A 24,104-nucleotide genomic window follows, 5' to 3' on the forward strand; every position below is an offset into this window, starting at 1 on the left:
TTCCTGTCTGTCAAATGAAGACATTTCGTATGTTAGATAAGAGATCTGCTCCTCAGCAGTGGATACTCACCTTTCTGTGTTCTGACAGTGCTACTCTGTCCCATGCAGCTTTCTCTAGTCCTACTATTACTTCTATTTCTTTAGAACAACCATAGCGCATAGTCCTTTTCATTAAGGGTTTTAGTAGGAATCTACAAGGCAACCAATTGGGAATAACAAAAAGAACCTACGTGCTTTAGGACTTATAAAAAGCCCTATAAGCCCTCCTTCAGAGGCCAAACACTGAAACCTCCAGATGCTTCTGAATTCATTATCTTAGAAAAGTCATCAAATCTTTTTATTTTTTCACGGTAAGAACTCTCAACAAACATGTCTTTCTGAACACTTCCCTTAGGTGCTCCATCCAGGTGCCTGTTATTGGAACAATAAAGTCATGTTACTTCATTAGGAGTCCGGCCTCTAGATTGCGAGGCCTTTAAATGGATGATCCCTCCGGTGTCTGGCTGCCCAGTTAGCCCCCGTTACCAGCACCCTTGGTCTTCTTCCACCTGTCTGCCCCTCCCTGTTCTCCCAGCTTCGGAGGACGACTGGACCGGCTGGGCGGGTTTCGCCAGCCGACCCAGGGATCCGAAGAAGGGCGCACCCAGCCTCCCCGACCTAGGTGTAGACACTGCCCACCCGCTGCGGCTCCACTCTACTCCACCCCTGCCCGCTCGACTTTAAACCTATTTCCCCGCCGTAGCTCCGCCCCTCTCCCCTCAGCCCGCCCCTCTCTGTTACTGGCTCTCGCTCAGCGTTCTCGGTGGAAGTGGTTTTTCCGGGAGAGACCACGCTTCCCCTCAAGCTCCCCAACGGCTCCGCCTTCCCGCCGGAGCCTGACCCTTCCCAGAGTGCCCGGCGATTCCGGCGTGCGAGGCCCTTGGAGGGCAAGGCCCCAGGGCCTGGCTTAGGAGCGCGAGAGGCAGGCTGGGAATTGTAGTTCGAAGGCCCTCGAGAGCGGCTAGAGTCTGGCGGCCGAGAGGACTAGTTGTCCCAGCGTGCCCTGCGCCTCAGCCCGCGCGCTCGCAGCTTCTCGCTCTCGCCTGCCTGCCCGCTCCCTTGCTTGCTCGCGCTTTCGCTCGCCCTCTCCTCGAGGATCGAGGGGACTCTGACCACAGCCTGTGGCTGGGAAGGGAGACAGAGGCGGCGGCGGCTCAGGGGAAACGAGGCTGCAGTGGTGGTAGTAGGAAGATGTCGGGCGAGGACGAGCAACAGGAGCAAACTATCGCTGAGGACCTGGTCGTGACCAAGTATAAGATGGGGGGCGACATCGCCAACAGTGAGTGCGGCCTCGGGGGTCGGGGAATCAAGGCTGATAGGGAAAGGTAACAGGCTGGCCCGGAAGGGGCTGGAGCGGAGGGGTCATGCGGACTGAGCTACTGAGGGGCCCGCACCGGTCCGCTGGGCACGGCGTGGTGGGAAGACCCGGTGTCGCGCCTGGGACCTGAGCGGGCAGGCCCAGGCTGAAGTCTATGGAGGTGCGGGTCGGCGACCAGGATGAGCGCAGAGAGGGGACCCTGGCAGGCTCCGACCCGAGGCCGTTTGTTAGGAGGCAAGACGTGTTTTCTCTTGTTCCTATCCTTCATTCCCGATTATTGCTTCCTCTGATTCTGGCAGCGGCGAGGCCACCTCGAAAAGGAAGCGCCCAGCTATTGGCGACAGAAGTGCCCCTCTGTTTTTGTAGCGTCTCCGGGGCGTCAGGAGCCAAGCCGGCACGTGTTGCTGGGTCCCATTGCGGATGGCTGGCCCCCTTCTTACTCCGCTAGTGTCCCTGACACCAGCTTCCCCACCACCAGCTTCCCCACCACGTGCTTTGCTGGAGCCTTTCCTTCTTTACTTCAGCTCTTACCCTGGTGGGGGCCCCCTTCTACCTTGGGCCAGCTAAGGAGACCGTTGGAGAGCACTCCTGGAGCTTCTAATGCAAGTCTTGGAGATATATATGGCTTTTCTTGAAGTTACTCATTACTACCACCTTTCCAATCTGTGCAGATAGTCTTAGTTAGCATTCACATTTGTTGTTCTCAGTGACTTGACAACTCAAATGTTTTGGGGTCTCCGTCTTATCCCAACTAGGCAAGCTTGTGAACATTACTGGAAAAGGGAGGACTGATTTTAGGATTTTCACAAGTCATCCTTACTCCAGGTGTGCTCTGACGATCTCAGCAGTTGCCTGTCACTCTAGGCAGATGCCACTTTCTCTTTTCTCTCTTTCCAGTTAGCCTTTCCATTTTATTCCAGTTAGGGAGATACAAACTGCTTGTCATTGTGCTTTTAAATGGTTTTAACAGCAAAGATGGTGGGGAACAGGTATTTAGGATGCCTCCCGTCCTGTGGGTGAAAATCTGAGTTTTACCAGCTTTCAAAGAATCACCAAAACTGAGATACCAAAAGTCAAACCTGTGCTTTATATCACAGTGGACATTTAGTATCGTACCCTGGTTTTTGGTGCCTTTTAGTATTTGAGATACTAGTGGTTTGAATCAGAAAATCTCTTACAGTTTATAACTTTGGCCTCATATTTCTTTTAGATAAGCCATGATCCCCCGAAATGAAACCCAGGGACCTTAGATTAAGTTTCCTTGGCTTATGCACTTGTTTATGAGGAAATAAGTCTATATAGATTGAGATTCCTAACACCTAATTAGAGTGTCTGAGAAAGGAATGCGGTAACATTTAACAGTGCATCGGCTTCGAGTCAGCAATTCTGTCTACCTTCTTGTCCCTGATGCCTATAAATTTCATCTAGTCTTTGCGTGTATGTGGGGATACCATGGCAAGAACCCTCTGAAGTTCATAACTCTGTCCTGTCACACCAAAGGTAGCATCTTTGGAAAGTCTGAGGCCTTGCCTAGGGAGATGGATTGTATATACCCAGTTGTCACATAATGTAAGGAAGAGAAGGGAATGTTGACCTTTCAGCCTCAGGGCAATGGCACCAGGGAGTATTATGGAAACTCTTAAATTCAACTTCCAGGTATTCCTTGGGTGGTAACTAGACAATGAATACATACAAGGCTGACATGATGGGATTCTGTCCTCAGGGGTACTTCGGTCCTTGGTGGAAGCATCTAGCTCAGGTGTGTCGGTACTGAGCCTGTGTGAGAAAGGTGATGCCATGATTATGGAAGAAACAGGGAAAATCTTCAAGAAAGAAAAGGAAATGAAGAAAGGTAAAAAAAAAAAATCCCTCACTAATTTTCCGTTTGACCCTTATTTGGTCCTATATGTTTTTATTTTTTTCACTGTAATGACGCAGTCCCCACCCCAGCTCTGGCTGAGGTATTTGGAAATTTGGAATGGCAAGTGGGATACAAGCAGTTTCCTACCTAATCCAAACTGATGAAACTTAAGCAAGACCCTGAAAAAATCCTTCTACATTTCTGAAGGGCACTAGGGCTCCCGGGAGACAGCAAGGCAGTAGGCTGATGATTCTTTCTTTACAGGTATTGCTTTTCCCACCAGCATTTCGGTAAATAACTGTGTATGTCACTTCTCCCCTTTGAAGAGCGACCAGGATTATATTCTCAAGGAAGGTGACTTGGTAAAAATGTAAGGTTAAACCGTTTTAAAGCATTTTTCTTTTTTTAAAGCATTTACAAAATGCCAGTTCCTAATGCAGTACTCTGATCTTGCCTTTCAGTGACCTTGGGGTCCATGTGGATGGCTTCATCGCTAATGTAGCTCACACTTTTGTGGTTGATGTAGCTCAGGTAGGTGGCCTGCTTTTGATCTCTGTTTAGCCTTGGGGTAGAGGGAATGCACTGCCATTTGCTTCTTATCCCCACCCCCAATCACCACGTAAGTTGAGAGAGTCTCTAGAGAAGCAAAAGGAGAAAGGTTTTTGTTGTTGTTGTTGTTTTTACCCTCCTGTTCATTGGCTGGTCTTCGCATATGGGCTCACAGATATTAACCAGATAGCCAGCTGAGTTAACAGACTTTCCAGGAAGATACTGATTGCATGTCCTTATCTACAGGGGACCCAAGTAACAGGGAGGAAAGCAGATGTTATTAAGGCAGCTCACCTTTGTGCTGAAGCTGCCCTACGCCTGGTCAAACCTGGAAATCAGGTAAGCTATTTTATCCAATTCCAAAGCTCGTTTGAACCAAAGATGCATTAGGCACCTATAGCTACTCTATATGAAACTACCAACCTCCCCTACAGACCCCTTATAAAACAGCTTTTTAAAATTAGCTATATTTAGCTGGGCACAGTGACTCACATCTGTAATCCCATCACTTTGGGGGGCCAAGGTAGGAGGATAGCTTGAGGCTGGGAGTTCAAGACCAGCCTGGGAAACATGGTGAAACCCCATTTCTACAAAAAATACAAAAATTAGCTGGGCGTGGTAACATGTGCCTGTATTCCCAGCTTCCAGGGAGGCTGAGGTGGGAGAATCACCTGAGCCTGGGAGATTGAGGCTGTGCTGAGCTATGATCATGCCACTGCACTCCAGCCTGGGCAACAATGAAACCCTGTCTCACAAAAGAAAAAGGAAAAATAAGCATTTGCTGTCCCCACAAAACAGATTAGAATGCCAGGTAAAAAAGGATAAACACTGGACTTAATATTATAGGCATGTGGTGGCACATGCCTGTAATCCCAGCACTTTGGGAGGCCAAGGTGGGAGGATTGCTTGAACCCAGGCATTTGAGACCAGCTTGGGAAACATAGCGAGACCCGTCTACAAAAAGAAAAAAGAAAACCCAGGTTTATGACCAAGTTCTTTCACTTAACACTCATTTAACCTGGGGCAAATCATTTAACCTGAGACTCAGTTTCCTTGTCTTCTAGATTGGGATATACATCTGCCCTGTTCACATGCAAAATTTATTGAGTTAGACCATCTTTGTGAAAGCACTGGGTAAAATGATATGCAGTTACAGCTGGTCCTCAGCTTGATGCTACATTCAGTAGAAGCTATACTTTGAGTACCCATACAACCATTCTGTTTTTCATTTTCCATATAGTATTTAGTAAATTACATGAGATATTCAACACTAATATAAAATAGGCATGTGTTAGATAATTCTGCCCAACTGTAGGATAATGTTTTTTAAGTGCTCTGAGCACATTTAACATAGGCTAGGCTGTGATGTTAGGTAGGTTAGGGGTATTAAATGCATTTTTGACTTAGTGATATTTTCAACTTATGAGTTTTTTGGAGATGTAACCCCATTGCAAGTTGGGGAGCATCTGTATAAAGTATTTTTAGATTGTAGGGATAATCAAGCTATGAAATGAAAAACCAGTGAATGACAATCATTGGGGCTTGATGGAGGATATTAGAACGCTCAGTTCTGCCAGGTGCAATGGCTCATGCCTGTAATCCCAGCACTTTGGGAGGCTGAGGTGGGCAGATCACGAGGTCAGGAGATCGAGACCATCCTGGCCAACATGGTGAAACCCCGTCTCTTCTAAAAATACAAAAATTAGCTGGGCGTGGTGTTGCGTGCCTGTAATCCCAGCTACTCAGGAGGCTGAGGCAGGAGAATAGCTTGAACCCGGGAGGCAGAGATTGCAGTGAGCCAAGATCACGCCACTGCACTCCAGCCTGGTGACAAAGCCAGACTCCATCTCAAAAAAAAAAAAAAAAACGCTCAGTTCTTTTATGCTTCTTATTCTCATTGTAGAGAACTTATTAGCTCCTGATATCTCACCTTTCATTTGATGTTGTACTTCTAGAACACACAAGTGACAGAAGCCTGGAACAAAGTTGCCCACTCATTTAACTGCACGCCAATAGAAGGTGAGAACAGATAACAGGGTTGAGGGTCTAAGAATGAGTGGCTTTGCCAGGTGCGGTGGCTCACGCCTGTAATCCCAGAACTTTGGGAGGCTGAGGTGGGCGGATCACCTGAGGTCAGGAGTTTGAGACTAGCCTGGCCAACATGGTGAAACCCCGTCTCTACTAAAAATATAAAAATTAGCTGGGCGTGGTGGTGGGTGCCTGTAATCCCAGCTACTTGGGAGGCTAAGGCGAGATAATCGCTTGAACCCGGGAGGAGGAGGTTGCAGTGAGCCAAGATTGCGCCACTGCACTCCAGTCTGGGCAATAAGAGCGAAACTCCATCTCCTCCATCTCAAAAAAAAAAAAAAAAAGAATGAGTGGCTTTGCAGAATTGAGGCTTTTGCTCCCTTGAAGATCTATCCTGGCTATAACCCAGTCTAAGCCAGAAATCTCAGAGCCCTGTGTTTCCATAACCAGGTAGTTGTCTCACTGCCTACCACTTCAAACTACTGAAGTGGGTGGATTTGGAAACCTTTTGGGATACTGGATAGCTTGTTCCATAGGTTGTGTACTATCTACAGGTATGCTGTCACACCAGTTGAAGCAGCATGTCATCGATGGAGAAAAAACCATTATCCAGAATCCCACAGACCAGCAGAAGTAGGTGCCAACCCTACTTATTACCTTCTACCACACAAGACTAGTCATCAGGTTTTTTTCTATACTCCCAACTGAATCTTGTCCGCCCTCTACTCCATGTTTTCAGGAGTGACCTGTTGCTCTTAATATTCCCTTTCTCTAGGCCGGGCGCGGTGGCTCACGCCTGTAATCCCAGCACTTTGGGAGGCTGAGGCGGGTGGATCACCTGAGGTCACGAGTTCAGAACCAGCCTAACCAACATGGCGAAACCCTGTCTCTACTAAAAACTACAAAAATGAGCCAGGCCTGGTGGTTTGTGCCTATAGTCCCAGCTACTTGGGAGGCTGAGGCAGGAGAGTTGCTTGGACCCGGGAGGTGGAGGTTGCAGTGAGCTGAGATTGTGCCACTGCACTCCAGCCTGGGTGACAGAATGAGACTCTGTGTCAAAAAAAAAAAAAAATTCCTTTCTCTCTATTCCTTTTAGGAAGGACCATGAAAAAGCTGAATTTGAGGTACATGAAGTATATGCTGTGGATGTTCTCGTCAGCTCAGGAGAGGGCAAGGTGAGGAGAGTACCAGAGTTGGCAAAGAGGGGTGACTGAGAGTGTTCACCAGACCAAATGTTACTTAAATTACTCTTTCAGGCCAAGGATGCAGGACAGAGAACCACTATTTACAAACGAGACCCCTCTAAACAGTATGGACTGAAAATGAAAACTTCACGTGCCTTCTTCAGTGAGGTGGAAAGGCGTTTTGATGCCATGCCGTTTACTTTAAGGTACTAAGCAATGATAGTACTTGGAACCAGTCTGACTCACAGACCATACACCCAGGAACACTTTTTCCTCTCCCTTCCTGCCTAGACTTGTAGCGTGCATGTGCTCACTCCCTCCCTCTCTCTCCCCATCTCCTTCTCATTGAAGGTAATGTAAAAGAGCAATCCTAAGCATGATTTCTGCCTGAGGGTAGGAGCTATTTTAAAATATGAGCAAAATGGTAAGACTTGATGGGGAGTTAAAGATACCTCTGAATATCATCTTCCCTGCCAGAGCATTTGAAGATGAGAAGAAGGCTCGGATGGGTGTGGTGGAGTGCGCCAAACATGAACTGCTGCAACCATTTAATGTTCTCTATGAGAAGGAGGGTGAGTTCCAAAAAGAGCTTCACTTTGGATTCCCTGATTATAAGATATCCTTCCTGTAAGTTCAGAAGAGCTAAGTATGACAAAGGAACTTTTTATCAAAACACATCTTCATTTTTGCCATAGGTGAATTTGTTGCCCAGTTTAAATTTACAGTTCTGCTCATGCCCAATGGCCCCATGCGGATAACCAGTGGTCCCTTCGAGCCTGACCTCTACAAGTCTGAGATGGAGGTCCAGGATGCAGAGCTAAAGGTTAGTATGGAATAGAAGGTGGTGAGTATGTACATGGTATCCTGCTTGGGAGTGAGGGCTAAATGCCAGCAAAGTCCTGAAAAGAGCTGCAGTACTGAAAGTAACCCTTTATTTTTAATTTCCTCCACATTTCTCAAAATTTTTTTCCCTTCTTCCTGTTTTCCAGGCCCTCCTCCAGAGTTCTGCAAGTCGAAAAACCCAGAAAAAGAAAAAAAAGAAGGTGTGTTATTAACGATCATTCCTCTCTGGCAGGGTGAACCTGATCCCTCTTTCTCCCACTGTGTTAAGTTGTAGTGAAATACGGATTTTTATACAGATGCTCCTCAACTTATATGATAGAACTTTGTCCCAGTAAACCCATCATAAATTGAAAATACTGTAAGTCAAAATGGATTTTAAAATATATATATATATATTTTAAGAGACAGAGTCTCAAACTCCTGGCCTTGAACAGTCCTTCCACCTCAGCCTCCCAAACTGTTGGGATTACAGGCATGAGCTGCCATGCCCAGCCTTGCTTTGGCCGGGCACAGTGGCTCATGCCTGTAATCCCAGCACTTTGGGAGGCTAAGGCGGATGGATCACCTGAGGTCAGGAGTTTGAGATCAGCCTGACCAACACAGAGAGAAACCCCGTCTCTACTAAAAATACAAAATTAGCTGGGTGTGGTGGCACACGCTTATAATCCCAGCTACTCGGGAGGCTAAGGCAGGAGAATTGTTTGAATCTGGGAGGCAGAGGTTGCAGTGGGCCGAGATCGCACCATTGCGCTCCGGCCTGCGCAACAAGAGCGAAACTCTGTCTCCAAAAAAGAGATGATCTCACTGTGTCACCCAGGCTGACGTGTAGAGGCATGATCATAGCTCACTGTATCCTCAAACTCCTCCTGGGTTCAAGTGATTGTCCTGCCTTGACCTGCTGAGTAGCCACCACCATGCCTGGCTCAAAATGGATTTGATGTACCTTAACCTACCATGAACCTCATAGCTTAGCCTGGCCTACCTTGAATGTGCTCAAAACATTTATTGAACAAATTATCATGTATCGAAATATCCATATTGCTTTCACGCCATTGTGAAGTTGAAAAATCACAAGTTGACCATTGTAAGTCAGAGACCTGTATGTCTTTATTTCAGCTGTGACCCAGAGGATTGAGATAACTTTATGGCTGGGTGTGGTGGTTCACACATATAATCCCAACAGTTTGGGAGGCCTAGGCAGGAGCATCACTTGAGCCCAGGAGTTCAAGATCAGCCCGGGCAACATGGTGAAACCTCATCTCTACAAAAAATACAAAAAAGTTGTACATGGTGGCATATGCCTATAGTCCCAGCTACCTGGGAGGCTGAGGTGAGAGGATCACCTGAGCCCAGGGAAGTGGTACCACTGCACTCCAGCCTGGAAAACAGAGTGAGACTGTCTCAGAAAAAAAAATACTTTTATCTCTGGTCCCAGACATCCCCAAGTAGTTAGAAACTGACAGGTCTTCTCCCTCTCCTTTTCTTGCATATAGGCCTCCAAGACTGCAGAGAATGCCACCAGTGGGGAAACATTAGAAGAAAATGAAGCTGGGGACTGAGGTGGGTCCCATCTCCCCAGCTTGCTGCTCCTGCCTCATCCCCTTCCCACCAAACCCCAGACTCTGTGAAGTGCAGTTCTTCTCCACCTAGGACCGCCAGCAGAGCGGGGGGATCTCCCTGCCCCCACCCCAGTTCCCCAACCCACTCCCTTCCAACAACAACCAGCTCCAACTGACTCTGGTCTTGGGAGGTGAGGCTTCCCAACCACGGAAGACTACTTTAAATGAAAAAAAGAAATTGAATAATAAAATCAGGAGTCAAAATTCATCGTCTTCAAGCCCCTCTTTCTAGCCTTTTCTACTACTCTCTGCTTGGTCAAGGTTTGTGCCCCACTACAGAACAGGGCTAAATTAGCCACCACCACTGAAAACTCAGCCGAATTTTTTTATACCACTCTGATGTCAGCATTTTTTCCATCTGTTTGGGGCTTTTTCCTCTTTTTTCCATTCTCCCCAAATATTTTATCTGGCTTCAAAATTAAGAGGATTATTTTTCAGATTGTTTTTATTCAGTGTGGCCGATTCCTCATCTGATTCAGGCTGTCCAGTCAGGCCCCTCCCATTTTAGGAGCTGGAGCCTTCATTTATGAAGAGATTCTCATCTATGAAATGGATCCTCATTTGTAAATCTTTTTTCTTCCATTTTCACAAAGCTGTAAAGAAATAATCCATCTCAACCTTACCCTTTTTCTCTGGAGTCAGTGGGGTCTTTCCTCGCTCCATCTTACACAGACCTGAGCTGGAAGCTCAACTGGTTTTGTTCCCTGTTTGAAATATTGTGATCTCCCTCCCATGAAAGAAAAACCAAGAACCAGAGGCGTAGACTGACTGAAGACACAACTCCTGGCTTTCTGAAGCTATGGACTTGGATTGGATTGCTGGGGGTTTGTAGAGAAAGGTGACAAATTTCAGTACCTCTGGCATGCTGTCCCAGGAAACTAGGGCTCCCACTAACTTATGAGGTTTTTAAACACATTGAAAATGACATGACATTAAAATAAATTTGGATTTGCTCATAATGATGTGCTTTGTATGCTGCTCTTGTTTGATGGAGGTGGGGAGAATGTCAGTTGAAGTGGTATTGGAACTGTTCCTCCACAGTGCCATGCTCTACCTTCCCAAAACGAGGAATGTCTTGACTTGCAGAAGACACAAATCTTAGAATCTTTGATGATATAGTAATCTGCTGGAGTTGGGTGGTGTAATTTTCTAAGTAGAAACAGTCCTCACTGCTAAGATTTGTTTGGGGCTAGGACACAATGTCTACTGCAAAAACAGTACTGCAAGTGTTTATCTTGAATTCAAGAAGCCAGGAAGAATGGTACACTAGTTTTCAGGGCCAGACTAAGGTCAGATGGGTAATTAGTTTATCTTACTACATGTCAGGAATTGCTAAACTAGAGATACTACAAGTGAACAGAACTGAACACAGGTCAAATGTGTAATGATGTATATCTACCATTAAAATAGAGTAGTTTTAGTGCCCTAAAAATCCTCTGTGTTTTGCCTGTTCATCTCTCTCTCCTTGCTTACGCATTTGTCCAAAGGCAAAGAATGTACAATGCCAATGCCAAGAGTGAACCCTAGTGTAAACTAAACTATGGATTTGGGGTGATAATGGTATATCAACGTAGGTTCTATTGTTAACAAATGTACCACTCTGGCAGGGTGGAGTGATGTTTATAAAGGGGGAGGCTATATGTGTGGGAAATGTCTATACCTTTCTCAATTTTGCTGTGAACCTAAAACTGTTCTAAAAAATTAAGTCTATTAAAAAAAGAAAAAAACAGCCAAGTGCGGTGGCTTATACCTGTAATTCCAGCACTTTGGGAGGCCGACGCAGGCAGATCACCTGAGGTCAGGAGATCAAGACCAGCCTGGCCAACATGGTGAAACCCCATCTCTACTAAAAATATAAAAAGCCAGGCTTAGTGGCGGGCGCCTGTAATCCCAGCTACTTGGGAGGCTGAGGCAGGAGAATCGCTTGAACCCAGGAGGCGGAGGTTGCAGTGAGCCAAGATCGCGCCACTGCACTCCAGCCTGGGTGACAGGAGTGAGATTCCATTCCGTATCAAAAACAAGCAAACAAAATTTCCCTCAAAGAGCTTATAAACTAGTTGGCAATCATCAGTTGAAATCTTGGTGGAACTGATACAAAATAATTCTGCTAGGATTTTTTTTGTTTCAAAAAAATTGTCATATATATTTGGGTGGTGACAATACTACAACTACTTAGAAGGAACCTAATTTTAAAAACGTTTTTCAGGGATTGAAAGTGAAATGCTATCCTGGAATATAATAAAGGGAAACCACAAAAAAAGAGGGATTGTAACAATCACATACAAAATGTTACAGTATTTTAAAACTGTAAGATGAAGTCTCTATAGGGAAAGGGTTCTTTTTCATCCCCCATTAACTCAAAAGTTTCCTGTAGCCAAATCTTAGGGGATCTGGTTGTTTTCCAGTGCTTCTCACCTGAGCATACAATCAAACTGGGAAGTTCTTTATCTTAACACCAAATGTCATACTTTCCCTAGATTTAGGTAATTTTCTCCCTATGTCCGTTGGTTCGCTCTTCACCCCTAGAGAATCACTGCATAGGTCACTGCAGCCTCGACTTCCTGGGCTCGAGATTCCCCCACCTCAGCCTCCCAAAGCGCTGGGATTACAGGCATGAGCCACCGTGCCCAGCCCGCTGACGTATTTTCTGAACAAATGATGCATTGTAGCCAGGAATCTCTAGTGATATTTTGCTTCGGGCATCGTGGGGGAAGACCATAATCAGCTATTTTATTCTTGAAATTTAGGAAAAATAATTGCTCTATCTTAAACAGTGAGAAAATATTTTTTGAAGTATGGCAGCTTTCCCGAATCCCCACTTTATATCTTCCTATGTTCTGAAATCTTAGGACCTTCGATGGTTCCGGAATCGAATCACCCTGCAGCAATTTATTTTAGAAAATAAGGCAAACCGGCTGGGCGCGGTGGTTCATGCTTGTAATCCCAGCACTTTGAGAGGCCGAGGCGGGCGGATCGCTTGAGCTCAGGAGTTCGAGACCAGCCTGGGCAACACAGCGAAACCTCGTCTCTACTAAAAATACAAAAATTAGCCAAGTGGCGCGCGCCTGTTGTCCCAGCTGCTCGGGAAGCTGAGGCGGGAGAATCGCTTGTATTCAGGAGGCGGAAATTGCGGTGAGCCGAGATCGCGTCACTGCACTCCAGCCTGGGTGACACAGTGAGATCCTGTCTCAAAAAAGAAAAAAAGAAAGAAAGAAAGAAAAGAAAGAAAGAAAGAAAGAAAGAAAGAAAGAAAGAAAGAAAGAAAGAAAGAAAGAAAGAAAAGAAGGCAAACCAGTAAAACAAGAATTTCTGTACAGTCCGCGCCTATCCATAGCAAAATGGAGGACTTCTCCAGGGAACTGCAACTCCCAAGAAGCAATGCGAGGGAAGGTGGCGGTCACTATTTTTTCCCCGTCTGCACCTCTAGGTCCAATATTGGAAATAGGTGCTGACGTTTAAATAACACAGCGTCCTCATACTAAATCTGGGGGGGAACTGGTAACTCGAAAACCAAATACTCGGTCTTCCGAAAGAACTAACTCAACCTACCCTTCTACAAGAGGGTCCGAAAACCACTGTTACGCCCATTGGGTAGCCCCGCCCTTGGGGGGGGCAAAGGGCGTGAAAGCGGAAGTGACGACACCCGGCGCTCCATTAAATAGCCGTAGACGGAACTTCGCCTTTCTCTCGGCCTTAGCGCCATTTTTTTGGGTGAGTGTTTTTTGGTTCCTGCGTTGGGATTCCGTGTACAATCCATAGACATCTGACCTCGGCACTTAGCATCATCACAGCAAACTAACTGTAGCCTTTCTCTCTTTCCCTGTAGAAACCTCTGCGCCATGAGAGCCAAGGTGAGCGGTTCCTGGTAGTAAGCTTGGGAGGTAGGAGTTGGCGAGTAGTAGCGAGGAGACGAAGGCAAGTCCGCCATACCTCCTGAACTACTGGGTTTCAAGGGTGCCCAAGAGCTGGTGGGAGAGAGAAGGTAGTTTGTGAGAGAGCTAGCGGTTAAGTGCTATGGGTAGAGAGGGTGGGCTTAGAAAAGGGTGGAATTCTGATCTTATGTTGGGAGGGTGTCCAAGTTACTGATGTAGTTGTTACGACCAATCTTTCATACTTCTTGGTTAAGAATCTGTCCGGTTCTAAAGAGTGCATTTCATATCCTTGCTAAGCCTACTAATAAGCTTCATCCCTTTTTTTTTTTTTTTTTTTTAATTATCTGCTGCTTGTGATCGGTTGCTAGTGGAGGAAGAAGCGAATGCGCAGGTACGTTGAGACTTTGCCAGCCCAGGAGGAGGGAAGTTCCTTGGACAAAACTTAGGAGAAACATTTGGTTTGGAAATCTTAAAAGATCTTTAGGAGAAAAACGTTTGAGTGTTTTCTCCCTGGAGCCAGGATTTAACAGAACAGAGAACGATAGAACCGTAGTGCTTGTTCATTTTACCACCTCATTCTTTATGTGGACGTTTGATTTAATGTGGGAGGGAAAGGCAACTCTGGTTTGAGGTGTATTCCATTCCTGTGTCTGCTTTTCAGGCTGAAGCGCAAAAGAAGAAAGATGAGGCAGAGGTCCAAGTAAACCGCTAGCTTGTTGCACCGTGGAGGCCACAGGAGCAGAAACATGGAATGCCAGACGCTGGGGATGCTGGTACAAGTTGTGGGACTGCATGCTACTGTCTAGAGCTTGTCTCAATGGATCTAGAACTTCATCGCCCTCTGATCGCCGATCACCTCTGAGACCCACCTTGCTCATAAACAAAATGCCCATGTTGGTCCTCTGCCCTGGACCTGTGACATTCTGGACTATTTCTGTGTTTATTTGTGGCCGAGTGTAACAACCATATAATAAATCACCTCTTCCGCTGTTTTAGCTGAAGAATTAAATCATCTTGTCTATTATGTTTTTTATGGTTCCATCGGGTGGGGGTTTTCTGTCATTAGAGTTTGCCCTGTCACTACCTGTGCTATGGAGGGTATCAAAGCTATAAAGGCAACAGCCCGGGTTACGTGGTGTGGTTTGCATCTCGCTGGAGTTGGATGGGATATGGTACGTCTCTGGAGGCAGGTTTTAGGTTTCGCGGGTTATTAGGGGCCAATGCTGGTACCGCCCCTTTCCAGGAGGGCTGCCTTGGCGACTACCGCTTAGACCATGTCGTGCCTTTGGGTTGGGTTGCCATAGTGACACGCAAAGCGTGCTGGGAACGCCCTGCGGCATGTCGCACGCGTACTTCATACACCATAGAGTATGGTTCCGGGTCTGCTGGCTAGAGCGTCACTTCTTCCGCAGGAAGCGGAAGAGCGATCGGGTAGGCGGCTCTTTGTCGAAGCTAGAGGACCGGCAGGCGGCAGCAGCAACTACGGCGGCGGCGGCAGGTGAGGGAGGCGGGAGACTTAGGTGGAGGCCGCGCCCGGAGGGGAGGAGTCGGGGCCGGCCCAGCGGCTGGGCTCGGCCAGGCCACAGAAGGCCCCCCAGAACCGAGCTGGCTCGTCCTCACACCCCAGGGCAGTGCCCCTTTTCTGAGTGACCCCGCATCGCGAGCAAACGCCAGCTTCGTGACGTCACAACCCTGCCCATCCCCTCAGCTTGATGACACCTGGAGCTCCAGCTCCCCGCTTCACTTCGCGCGCCCTTAGTGTCCCATTCACGTAGCCCACGGCTGAGCGCCGGCGGCACTGCACGGAACCTGCCAAGCTAGAAGACTTGCTGCGGGAAAACTCCTAGGACTTCTTTCGCAAACTCTAGGGTGTTGGGAAGCGTCACAATCACTGCCTTCAAGTCTAATCGGCCATCCCAATGCACTGTCAGACGCTGCCTTTTTGAGGTTCCTCACTAGCCATTACTAACTCCAGCCCTTGGCGGTGCTCTGACCCTCACATCCTCTTTCATCTTGAGGCAGGGCGCCCCGCACTCTTTGTTCACTCAGGGCTGGTTTTCCAACCCCTCCTCCCAGTCCCTCCGAATTAGTTTTACTCTTCTTACTGGCAACTTCTCCCTTGGACAGGTGAAGTTCAGTTTGAACCCTGAGGAAATCCTCACGTTCTCGAAGCTTTGCCGTTTTGTCAGATTTCTTGTGACAACCACCCCATAGTCCTCCACTCTTACTCCTTCTTCCACCCAAGTCTCTGTTTTTTTCCTGCTCAGAACCCAGCAGTGATGTGGAGGTGGAGACCCACAGGAGCCCCGGACTTCACCTGAGCTACCTCAGGTATCAATTCTGGGAGAGTGGGGTGGGGAGGAGCATCATAACTAATTATCTGCTGCTGGTGCGACTTGCAACGTGAGCCAGGCTTGGATAGATGGCATTTGTACTTCACCTGGTCATTCCCCTTTACTAAAAGTTTGTATCTTCTTTTACCACTTCTTTCCTTGATTGCTTCTATTATTCTGGGACTACCTCTCTTTAGAGGAGGAGGACCCTCTTACAGATTCTCTTGTAACTCTGGCCTCTGGTTTGGTTAGTTCATTTTAGGGAGATCTGAAGGCAAAGTCACAGTAGTGGGGTGGGGGTAGGTCAAGGCCAAAGGAATTAGGAAAGATTCCCTTATTCTCAAAGGGAACAATATGAAGTTTTCCTATTTCAGCAGCAGGGGGAGCCTGAACACCGCATAGGAAAGGCTTGGGAGGTCAGACACGTGGTAGCAGGGACTCCAGGTCTTACTGGGGGTGGAGAGAGGGGAGGGCTAGAACCAGGGCAGTGGACTGACATTCCAAAGCTCTCTTGGGAAATAGGAGACTTAAAAAGCTTTTATGGAGTCTATAAATAAAGAGGATCTTTCTGGGTTGAGGAATGGTGTGGTTGGATGTCAGTGGGATCTTCACATAGGGGAGTAGGAAGGGGGTGGGGAATGGGGAAAGGTCACTTGTTCCTGTGAAATTAACTCCTTCCCACTTGACCTTATCACAAATGGTTTGTCCTAGGAAATCTAGAAGTGGAGACTCTAACTTAGAACTCCTATCCTGAAATAGAAGGGGCTTACCTCTCTGCCGTTGACAGTGATGATGGCTGGGAGGGAATACTAAAATATGACAGGTTTTGAGACTCCCCTCAAGCTGGTGACACCAGTCTCTTCACCCAGGATTTCTTGGCTTCTAGAGATTTGATGTGTACAGAGCCCTTACCTGAGGAAAAGGAAAGGGGGTTAAGGAAGTTTTGTTACCAGTGTCCCATCTTCTACAGCCCTAGTAGCTCAGTAGCCCATCTTGGGCACTATTCCCAGTTTCCTTCCAGACTATTCAGATACTGACTGCAGTTTTAATTTCACTTCCACAACTTTAATAAGGTCAGCTCAAAAGGAAAGATGAATTCCAACACTATTTTTTCCCTGCTCCGTCCTGGGCCTATCCCTCCTCCGTTAGCCAGGCAAGTGTGAATCATTCTGACCCAGACCAGGTGCACAAAACCCTGGGAGGGGCTTTTGATGAGTCAGACATTTCAGCCAGAATTCTTATCCCTTAGATTCTCCATCTCTAAAGCCATTGCCCCTCTGGGCCACCTGCTTTATAGTCAGGAAGAGTGGGATCTCCCTGGAGGACTCCTGTTTGATACAGTTCTCCTCTTTTGTAGTGGTCACCAAGAGTGGCAAGATAAAGAAAACCCTGAGTTGGGCGGGACCAGGATGCCTGACCGGGACAGCTATGCCAACGGTACCGGGAGCAGCGGTGGAGGCCCTGGAGGTGGTGGCAGCGAGGAGGCCAGTGGGGCAGGGGTAGGCAGTGGCGGGGCCAGCTCAGATGCCATCTGTAGAGACTTCTTGAGGAATGTGTGCAAGCGAGGCAAGCGTTGCCGATATCGCCACCCAGACATGAGCGAGGTGTCCAACTTGGGGGTGAGCAAAAACGAGTTCATCTTCTGCCATGACTTCCAGAACAAGGAGTGTAGCCGCCCAAATTGCCGTTTCATCCATGGCTCCAAGGAGGATGAGGATGGCTATAAGAAGACAGGAGAGCTTCCCCCACGGCTGAGGCAGAAAGTAGCAGCTGGCCTTGGCCTTTCACCGGCTGACCTACCAAATGGCAAGGAGGAGGTCCCTATCTGCCGTGACTTTCTCAAGGGTGACTGTCAGAGAGGAGCCAAGTGCAAGTTCCGTCACCTGCAACGGGATTTTGAGTTTGATGCTCGGGGTGGAGGAGGCACTGGTGGGGGCTCAACAGGCTCAGTCCTCCCAGGACGACGTCATGATCTCTATGATATCTATGACCTTCCTGACAGGGGCTTTGAGGACCATGAGCCAGGCCCAAAACGCCGGCGAGGTGGATGCTGCCCCCCTGATGGCCCTCATTTTGAGTCATATGAATATAGTTTGGCTCCACCGCGAGGGGTGGAGTGCAGACTGCTAGAGGAGGAGAATGCCATGCTCAGGAAGCGGGTAGAGGAGTTAAAGAAGCAGGTCAGCAACCTGCTGGCCACCAATGAGGTACTACTGGAACAAAATGCTCAGTTCCGCAATCAGGCCAAGGTCATAACCCTGAGCTCCACTGCACCAGCGACTGAGCAGACTCTGGCCCCCACTGTGGGCACTGTTGCCACTTTTAACCATGGCATTGCCCAGACTCACACTACTCTCAGCAGCCAGGCTCTACAGCCTCGTCCAGTGTCCCAGCAAGAACTGGTGGCCCCTGCTGGAGCTCCAGCTGCTCCCCCAACTAATGCTGCACCTCCTGCTGCTCCACCACCCCCACCCCCACACTTGACCCCAGAGATCACGCCACTGTCAGCTGCCCTGGCTCAAACAATTGCCCAGGGAATGGCACCTCCACCTGTCTCCATGGCTCCTGTGGCTGTATCTGTGGCTCCTGTGGCCCCTGTGGCTGTATCGATGGCCCAACCCTTGGCAGGAATCACAATGAGCCACACCACCACTCCCATGGTGACTTACCCTATCGCTTCCCAGAGCATGCGCATCACGGCCATGCCACACTGATGGGGCTAATGGACACTCCCCTGGTATAGCCTCGCAGGGCTGGGGTCAGGGGGCCCTTGCCCACTCACCTAGCCTTCCCCATCCCTGTCTGAAGGGCTCCCTTGAGAACTAGGACAAGAGACTACAAGGAGTATGTCCTGAGGAGGGGTTGGGATGGTGTGTTTTCTCTCACCTCCCTTTTATGAGGGTCCTCTTGTCCATCTTCAAGCCTCACAGTGGGGGCTTGCAGAGGAGTGCAGACTGAAGCCAGCAGAGAGGAAGGACTGACTGAGGGGCTGTGTCCTCTTATGGGAATTTGGGAACATCCCTCGTCTTGTCCTCTCTTCTGCACAGCACAGGTTCCAGCACTGGTTTTAGAAGAAAAAAATACCCTGCCCAGAGGGAAAGCCAGGAAAGATTGGGAAGTGGGTGGTCAGGAGAGAAGGCCTGATAGGAGCCTTCAGACAATTTGGGTCCTAGTTGCTTGGGTTGGACAATACAGGAATTGCTTCTGGGCCCTGGGAAAGCTGGGACCATAGTGCTCCAGCCCAAAGACTAGGGGAGCATTCATTACCCTAGTTTGACCTGAAAATCCATAGGGCAGGGCCCACTACTTTCCAAAGAAATAAAAGAACAATTATTTTTAACAAATGGAGGCAGTGAAAACTTGCTTAGCTATTCTGTGTGGAAGATGGGAGCAGTAAATAGATCTCATGCCAAAATGGGATAAAGACCCCAGCCTCACATAGCTTTGGTAAGATGGATAGAAGCCAGTGAAGAAGGGTAGGGACCCAGAACAAGACCAAATGGGGCTTTGGGGAAGGCACTTTATGGGGTAAAAGCTTTGGAGCCACCCAGTCTAGTTTTAAAAATAGTCCCATCTGTTTCTGGTCTCTGTCTGTATGTGCTATTCCCAGGTTGCCTCAGTAACCAGGGCTCCTAGGGTCATTTAGCAGGGCAGGCAGTAAGGAGAGTGTATTTGCTGAAATGCGGATGGGATGTTACATAGTTGACAGATCCTTATTCAAACAGAGCAGGACAGGTGGAGTTGATGGCCATTGAGTTGATGGCAGTTGCCGCTCAGTTGATGGCAGTTAATGTCCCTCCTACCCCACCCCTTCAGTGGCCAGTTCCTGAAGCCTTCAAGGCTTGGGAGGTCTGGGAAAAGAGAGTCCTTCTAGGGACACAAGCCTCAGGGTCCATCCCTTTCCTCTGTCTCCACATAGGACCAGAAGTTTTAAATCTACTTAAGTCAGTAAGGCCAGGGGCCCCAATAGTCAAACCTCAGTTCCTCCTCAGCTCACGGCTGATGTAGGGAAAACAACTCAGGTGTCTAGTCTAATGGGACAGTAGATTTGGGGGTAGAGAGTGATCCTGGATTGTGTTCCCCCTCATCATGTCTCCTGCTACCTCTTGCTTTCTTGTCTGGTTGATCACTCAGGTCACATCTGGGATTGGAGATGGTGGGCTAGGTCAAGGCCAGTCATTAAAAAAAAAAGCCTAAAGACTAAAAGTGGGCTAACATTGTGGATTTTAGAAACAACACATTGATAAGCTTAATGTTTTTTGGGACACAATTTTTTTTTTTTTTTTTGAGATGGAGTCTTGCCCAGTCACCAGACCGGAGTGCAGTGGCGCAATCTCGGTTCACTGTAACCTGCGCCTCCTGGGTTCAAGCGATTCTCTTGCGTCAGCCTCCCGAGTAGCTGAGACTACAGGCGCCCGCCACCACGCCCGGCTAATTTTTTTATTTTTAGTAGAGACGGGGTTTCATCGTGTTGGCCAGAATGGTCTCTATCTCTCGTGATCCGCCCGCCTCAGCCTCCCAAAGTGCTGGGATTACAGGCATGAACCACCGTGCCCGGCAATTCTAGACTATTAAAAGAGATGGTTTAAGAGCATTTAGAGAAGAATGTAACCATAGATACCAACATGAATTCTCAGTCAAATCCTGACTGACTTTATTTCCTCCTTGCCAGGTTATCTCCAAAGAGGTAGATTTGGGAAATTTTAGACATTGTATGTCTTGTATGTATTTACTCCAGCTGAAGACCACCAAGAATACACCTGGTAATTGAGCAAGTTGGGTTTAATGCTCATTGCAGTGAGGGGGAGGGCTCACCATTGGGGATAACGTGGTGTGTCTCAGCATGAGGGTGTTAGGAACGACTTAGAGAACTTAGACTTTGGTTAAGTGATTTTGGGGAAGATTCAAGAAAGTGGGTGTTCTTTTGGATTGGGTGCTGTTAAGGGAATCCAGGATAATTGGGTAGCTTGTCTAGAAGAAGGGCAGACAAGTGAACCTAAGCACAGTCGATGATGAAGTCACTCACTAGCTGGGAAAGGGGATGTTTGCTGTTTTGTGGTTTGCACACTGACCTTGTTTTGTGCTTAAACAAAATTGTGTAGTGATTTTGTTTTTTGTCTCACTTCATCGCAGTCACTGAGTGACCTTGTCTGATGCTGGTGTTTTGTGAGATTGTTTGTGTCCAAGAGAACTCATTGGCTACCTGTGAGCACCAGGTCAGCCCTAACAGCTCTGAAGCCTGGCTGTGTCAGGCCAGTTCCCAGATTACAGGAGCTACTTTCCTCTCTCTCACCTGCTAAGTCATCACAGATAAGAGGAAAATTACGGGTCAGTTAATCGTAGCATTTTTTCCATGCAAATGGCTCTGGTTAAAAAATAATGAGAAAAAAATAGTAGCATTTGGTAGAATCAAACTGAACACTTGTACTTAGTGTTGGTTAGCGCATTTATGTTAGAGAAATCTCTGTTCTCTAGTGATAAGCCCAAGGGCTATGTTTTATTGTAAAAAGAAAAAACCCAACTCGGGTAAACATGTAAAAAACCCATTTATCAACAGTAACACAGGAAGAGCTAAATAATATTCAAAGTGTCTGTAACTTGAATTGACTAAAACACTGGAGCACTCTCACACTAAAAAATTGCTTAGATCTTGAACTAGTTTGAGGAACAATGTTAGAGATTTATATTAGCAATAATTCACATGAGAACAAACTGGGACTTCCAGTTGGCTGCAAAAAAATAGAATCTTAGCCCTCAAGATGTCCATTTATAAATATTTATTAAGAGCCTGCTATGTTCTAGGCATCTTTCTAGGAGCTCCATAAGGGTAGTAGAACCTTGGTAATAGATTACAAATACAGCAGTTCTATGTTCTGCCTAAGTGTAACCACTTAGTAGTGTGTTGTTCTAAATGTAATTTTTAAAGAGGGCCATTGACAAACCAGTGTGTTGCTAGAAAAAAAAGGCTGGCAAGAGAAAGCTTCAAATAGAAGTCTTCAAATATTTGAAGGGCTGCCCAGTGGAGGAAGATCCTGTTTGCTACACAGGAAGTAAAAAGGGATTTCTAGAATAATGGCTAACTTTTTTTTTTTTTTTTTTTTTGAGACGGAGTCTAGCTGTGTGGCCCAGGCTTCAGTGCAGTGGCACGATCTCTGCTCACTGCAAACTCTGCCTCCAGGGTTTACGCCATTCTGCTGCCTCAGCCTCCAGAGTAGCTGGGACTATAGGTGCCCAGCTAATTTTCTTTTTGTATTTTTAGTAGAGACGGGGTTTCACCGTGTTAGCCAGGACGGTCTCCATATCCTGACCTCGTGATCCGCCCACCTCGGCCTCCCAAAGTGCTGGGATTACAGGCGTTGAGCCACCGCACCCAGCCGGCTAGCATTTGTTGACTGCTTAATATAAGCCAAGGCTCTGTGCTAGGCACTTTACATGCAACATCTCATTGACACAATGGGTAATATTATTGTACCCATTTTACAGAGGAGAAAGCAGGCTTAAAAAGTAACCTGCCCAGGGTTCTGCAAGTAAGGAATGGGGCCAGGAATCTATTCAGGCAGTCTCACTCCAGACGACAAAAGAAAGTTCTAATGATATAGCCATCCAACAAAGCGATCACTACTTGGCAGTAATTTTTTTTTTTTTTTTTTGAGACGGAGTATCACTCTGTTGCCCAGGCTGGAGTGTAGTGGCGTGATCTCGGCCCACTGCAGCCTCCGCCTCTCGGGTTCAAGTGATTCTCCTGCCTCAGCCTCCCAAGTAGAGTAACTGGGATTACAGGTACATGCCACCATGCTCGGCTAATTTTTGTATTTTTAGTAGAGACGGGGTTTCGCCATGTTGGCCAGGCTGGTCTTGAACTCCTGACCTCAGGTGATCCAACTGCCTCGGCCTTCCAAAGTGCTGGGATTACAGGCATGAGCCACCGCGACTGGCTTGGCAGTAACTTTTGAGGAATAAAGAATACAGAAGGAGTTTCCTCAAATCTTGTTGCCCTTCCCATCTTTGTGAGCTGAGATCAGAGTACCGTATCTCACCCTCTGCCTCTTGGAGGTGATTATGGTTTACATATAAATGCAGATTGCAAGTCCAGGAAGTTTACTCTCTCTCCTCCTGTAGGCCTCATCCTGTAAGACACTTCCTCTAACAAATGGGCATCCCTTCCTGTTGTCCACTTACTGCTTATCACCACCAGGTGGCACCTGGGCAGCAGAATTGTCAGTGGGCGGGGACCCACCCTGTTTACTTGTGTTGGTAACTGCATTGCAGCTGCTGATCCTGTGGCTCCTGGGCCCCAGCTGGGACAAGAACTTCCTGAGGATGAAGTTTTATCCCCTATATAATTTCTGATGATCTGGATGAGGTGAGGAAGGGAGAAGTTTGGAAAAGAACCTCCATAGGTCACCCTCTCCATTCCCCCATTCTCAGGAACCTCCTTGCCTACTCCAGTGCTTGGCAAATTTCAGTTTATAGAGAGGTTTCTCTCTAAGGTTCATCCATGTTCCTTCTGTAGTTCTGCTTTATCAGTTGGTGAGCAGGTCACTCATAATTCCTCCAATTTCCTTGTTTCCCTTTTCTACCTGCTTACCTCTGGGAATATGGAGGATATAGGAGACAGAATATTGTTTCTTAAATAGTTCTGCAAACTGAATGAAGCAGTCAAGATACTGCTAGCCCTAGGGAAGTAGAGAAAAGGAAGTGAAAAAATTTAAGTGATAGAGGCTGAGCAGGGACAGGTTTTAAGCAGCTTTGGTAAACACAGGCTGATGAAATCTATGCCCTGCAGAACCAGATAAAATTTATCAGCTGCAGGCCTCATCCTGTAAGACACTTCCTCTAAGAAATGGCTAGTTTCTTCCCAGTGATCAACCCCAGTTCTTCTGCTGCATCTGACAGATTTACATAATATGCCCCATATATACTGCATTAAAAGGTAATCATCTTATGACCAACACTTCCCTCATCAACTTCCAATTAGTCTAGTTCCTAGATCCTAGGACAACACTCCACCTCTAACGCCAGTTAACTAGTAACAATAGTCATCGGTGTACCCTGCACTTTTTCCTTCCTAAACCTACACCGTACACTGTGGGACTGCACTAGTTCTGCACCTGACTGTATGGCAAACCTTCCTTCTAACTCAGGCAAATGTGAAAAGGAATTGTCTTTCCCTTACTCTTGATCCCTCATTTTAGTGTCCTAGAAGTTCTTCAGGGTCAGAAAATTATTGGAAAATGTAATAATTTGCGCTGCCTCCCTCCCTTTTGGAGCCAACTAGTCTTACATCCATCCTCTAAGATAGAGATGACTTACTAACTCTTGGAAATTTCCAAAAAGAAATAAAGCCTCACTTTCTATTCACTCTGCTTTTTTTCCCCCTTTCCCTGAAGGCTGGATTATCTCAACTCTGTAATTCTCTGACTCTCCAGTTTTCTCCAGGGTCAGTCGTTACACCACA

At 47.2% G+C, this 24,104-nt stretch overlaps 3 protein-coding genes and 1 long non-coding RNA gene across 7 annotated transcripts, besides 6 other annotated features; 3 read left to right on the forward strand and 1 right to left on the reverse strand.

Annotated features, from left to right (window-relative positions):
• On the reverse strand, nt 307–912 carry LOC105369782 (uncharacterized). Its single transcript, XR_944995.4, has 2 exons — nt 781–912; nt 307–411 (listed from the first exon to the last, which is right to left on the reverse strand). It is a non-coding gene; the product is annotated as an uncharacterized LOC105369782 (long non-coding RNA).
• Nucleotides 747–1,096: an enhancer, noted in NCBI's record as "active region_6469". NCBI's record gives its function as "activates an Ori minimal core promoter by ATAC-STARR-seq in GM12878 lymphoblastoid cells {active_cell/tissue: GM12878}" and the evidence as "EXISTENCE:reporter gene assay evidence [ECO:0000049][PMID:35858748]".
• Nucleotides 1,052–10,403, forward strand: PA2G4 (proliferation-associated 2G4). Its single transcript, NM_006191.3, has 13 exons — nt 1,052–1,318; nt 3,081–3,209; nt 3,483–3,588; nt 3,680–3,749; nt 4,014–4,106; nt 5,723–5,786; nt 6,350–6,428; nt 6,892–6,970; nt 7,052–7,185; nt 7,457–7,551; nt 7,675–7,802; nt 7,969–8,022; nt 9,316–10,403. Exons 1-13 carry the CDS (start codon nt 1,231–1,233, stop codon nt 9,379–9,381), a joined length of 1,185 nt encoding a protein of 394 aa, NP_006182.2. The 5' UTR covers nt 1,052–1,230; the 3' UTR covers nt 9,382–10,403.
• Nucleotides 1,107–1,326: an enhancer, noted in NCBI's record as "active region_6470". NCBI's record gives its function as "activates an Ori minimal core promoter by ATAC-STARR-seq in GM12878 lymphoblastoid cells {active_cell/tissue: GM12878}" and the evidence as "EXISTENCE:reporter gene assay evidence [ECO:0000049][PMID:35858748]".
• Nucleotides 12,718–12,767: an enhancer, noted in NCBI's record as "active region_6471". NCBI's record gives its function as "activates an Ori minimal core promoter by ATAC-STARR-seq in GM12878 lymphoblastoid cells {active_cell/tissue: GM12878}" and the evidence as "EXISTENCE:reporter gene assay evidence [ECO:0000049][PMID:35858748]".
• On the forward strand, nt 13,126–14,460 carry RPL41 (ribosomal protein L41). 2 transcript variants are annotated; one of them, NM_021104.2, is made up of 4 exons: nt 13,126–13,152; nt 13,268–13,292; nt 13,682–13,704; nt 13,975–14,460. In NM_021104.2, exons 2-4 carry the CDS (start codon nt 13,281–13,283, stop codon nt 14,015–14,017), a joined length of 78 nt encoding a protein of 25 aa, NP_066927.1. In that variant the 5' UTR covers nt 13,126–13,152; nt 13,268–13,280; the 3' UTR covers nt 14,018–14,460. The 2 variants fall into 2 exon arrangements, with proteins under 2 accessions (NP_066927.1, NP_001030344.1); NM_001035267.2 differs by having other exon boundaries at nt 13,126–13,292.
• Nucleotides 14,434–14,483: a silencer, noted in NCBI's record as "silent region_4544". NCBI's record gives its function as "represses an Ori minimal core promoter by ATAC-STARR-seq in GM12878 lymphoblastoid cells {active_cell/tissue: GM12878}" and the evidence as "EXISTENCE:reporter gene assay evidence [ECO:0000049][PMID:35858748]".
• Nucleotides 14,759–24,007, forward strand: ZC3H10 (zinc finger CCCH-type containing 10). Of its 3 annotated transcripts, none has more exons than NM_001303124.2 (3): nt 14,759–14,811; nt 15,441–15,644; nt 17,004–24,007. In NM_001303124.2, exon 3 carries the CDS (start codon nt 17,056–17,058, stop codon nt 18,358–18,360), a length of 1,305 nt encoding a protein of 434 aa, NP_001290053.1. In that variant the 5' UTR covers nt 14,759–14,811; nt 15,441–15,644; nt 17,004–17,055; the 3' UTR covers nt 18,361–24,007. The 3 variants fall into 3 exon arrangements, with proteins under 3 accessions (NP_001290053.1, NP_116175.1, NP_001290054.1); NM_032786.3 differs by having other exon boundaries at nt 15,581–15,644; NM_001303125.2 differs by lacking the exon at nt 14,759–14,811 and adding an exon at nt 14,910–15,260 and having other exon boundaries at nt 15,581–15,644.
• Nucleotides 17,648–18,645: an enhancer, noted in NCBI's record as "H3K4me1 hESC enhancer chr12:56514939-56515936 (GRCh37/hg19 assembly coordinates)". NCBI's record gives its function as "activates a minimal SCP1, AML or CMV promoter by ChIP-STARR-seq in naive H9 embryonic stem cells {active_cell/tissue: H9 hESC(naive)}" and the evidence as "EXISTENCE:reporter gene assay evidence [ECO:0000049][PMID:30033119]".
• Nucleotides 22,733–22,992: an enhancer, noted in NCBI's record as "active region_6472". NCBI's record gives its function as "activates an Ori minimal core promoter by ATAC-STARR-seq in GM12878 lymphoblastoid cells {active_cell/tissue: GM12878}" and the evidence as "EXISTENCE:reporter gene assay evidence [ECO:0000049][PMID:35858748]".
• Nucleotides 24,008–24,104: the final 97 nt, after the last annotated feature.

The sequence above is a fragment of the Homo sapiens genome, chromosome 12 (assembly GCF_000001405.40).
Source record: "Homo sapiens chromosome 12, GRCh38.p14 Primary Assembly".
NCBI lineage: Eukaryota > Metazoa > Chordata > Mammalia > Primates > Hominidae > Homo > Homo sapiens.

Excerpts from the sequence above, each read along its gene's own strand:
- ZC3H10 (NM_001303124.2), top strand. The coding sequence starts at position 17,056 with ATGCCTGACCGGGACAGCTATGCCAACGGTACCGGGAGCAGCGGTGGA.
- PA2G4 (NM_006191.3), top strand. The coding sequence starts at position 1,231 with ATGTCGGGCGAGGACGAGCAACAGGAGCAAACTATCGCTGAGGACCTG. Across the intron at positions 4,107-5,722 it reads TGGTCAAACCTGGAAATCAG|AACACACAAGTGACAGAAGC; the intron begins GTAAGCTATTTT and ends TTGTACTTCTAG. Across the intron at positions 7,186-7,456 it reads GCCATGCCGTTTACTTTAAG|AGCATTTGAAGATGAGAAGA; the intron begins GTACTAAGCAAT and ends CTTCCCTGCCAG.
- RPL41 (NM_001035267.2), top strand. Across the intron at positions 13,705-13,974 it reads AGGAAGAAGCGAATGCGCAG|GCTGAAGCGCAAAAGAAGAA; the intron begins GTACGTTGAGAC and ends TCTGCTTTTCAG.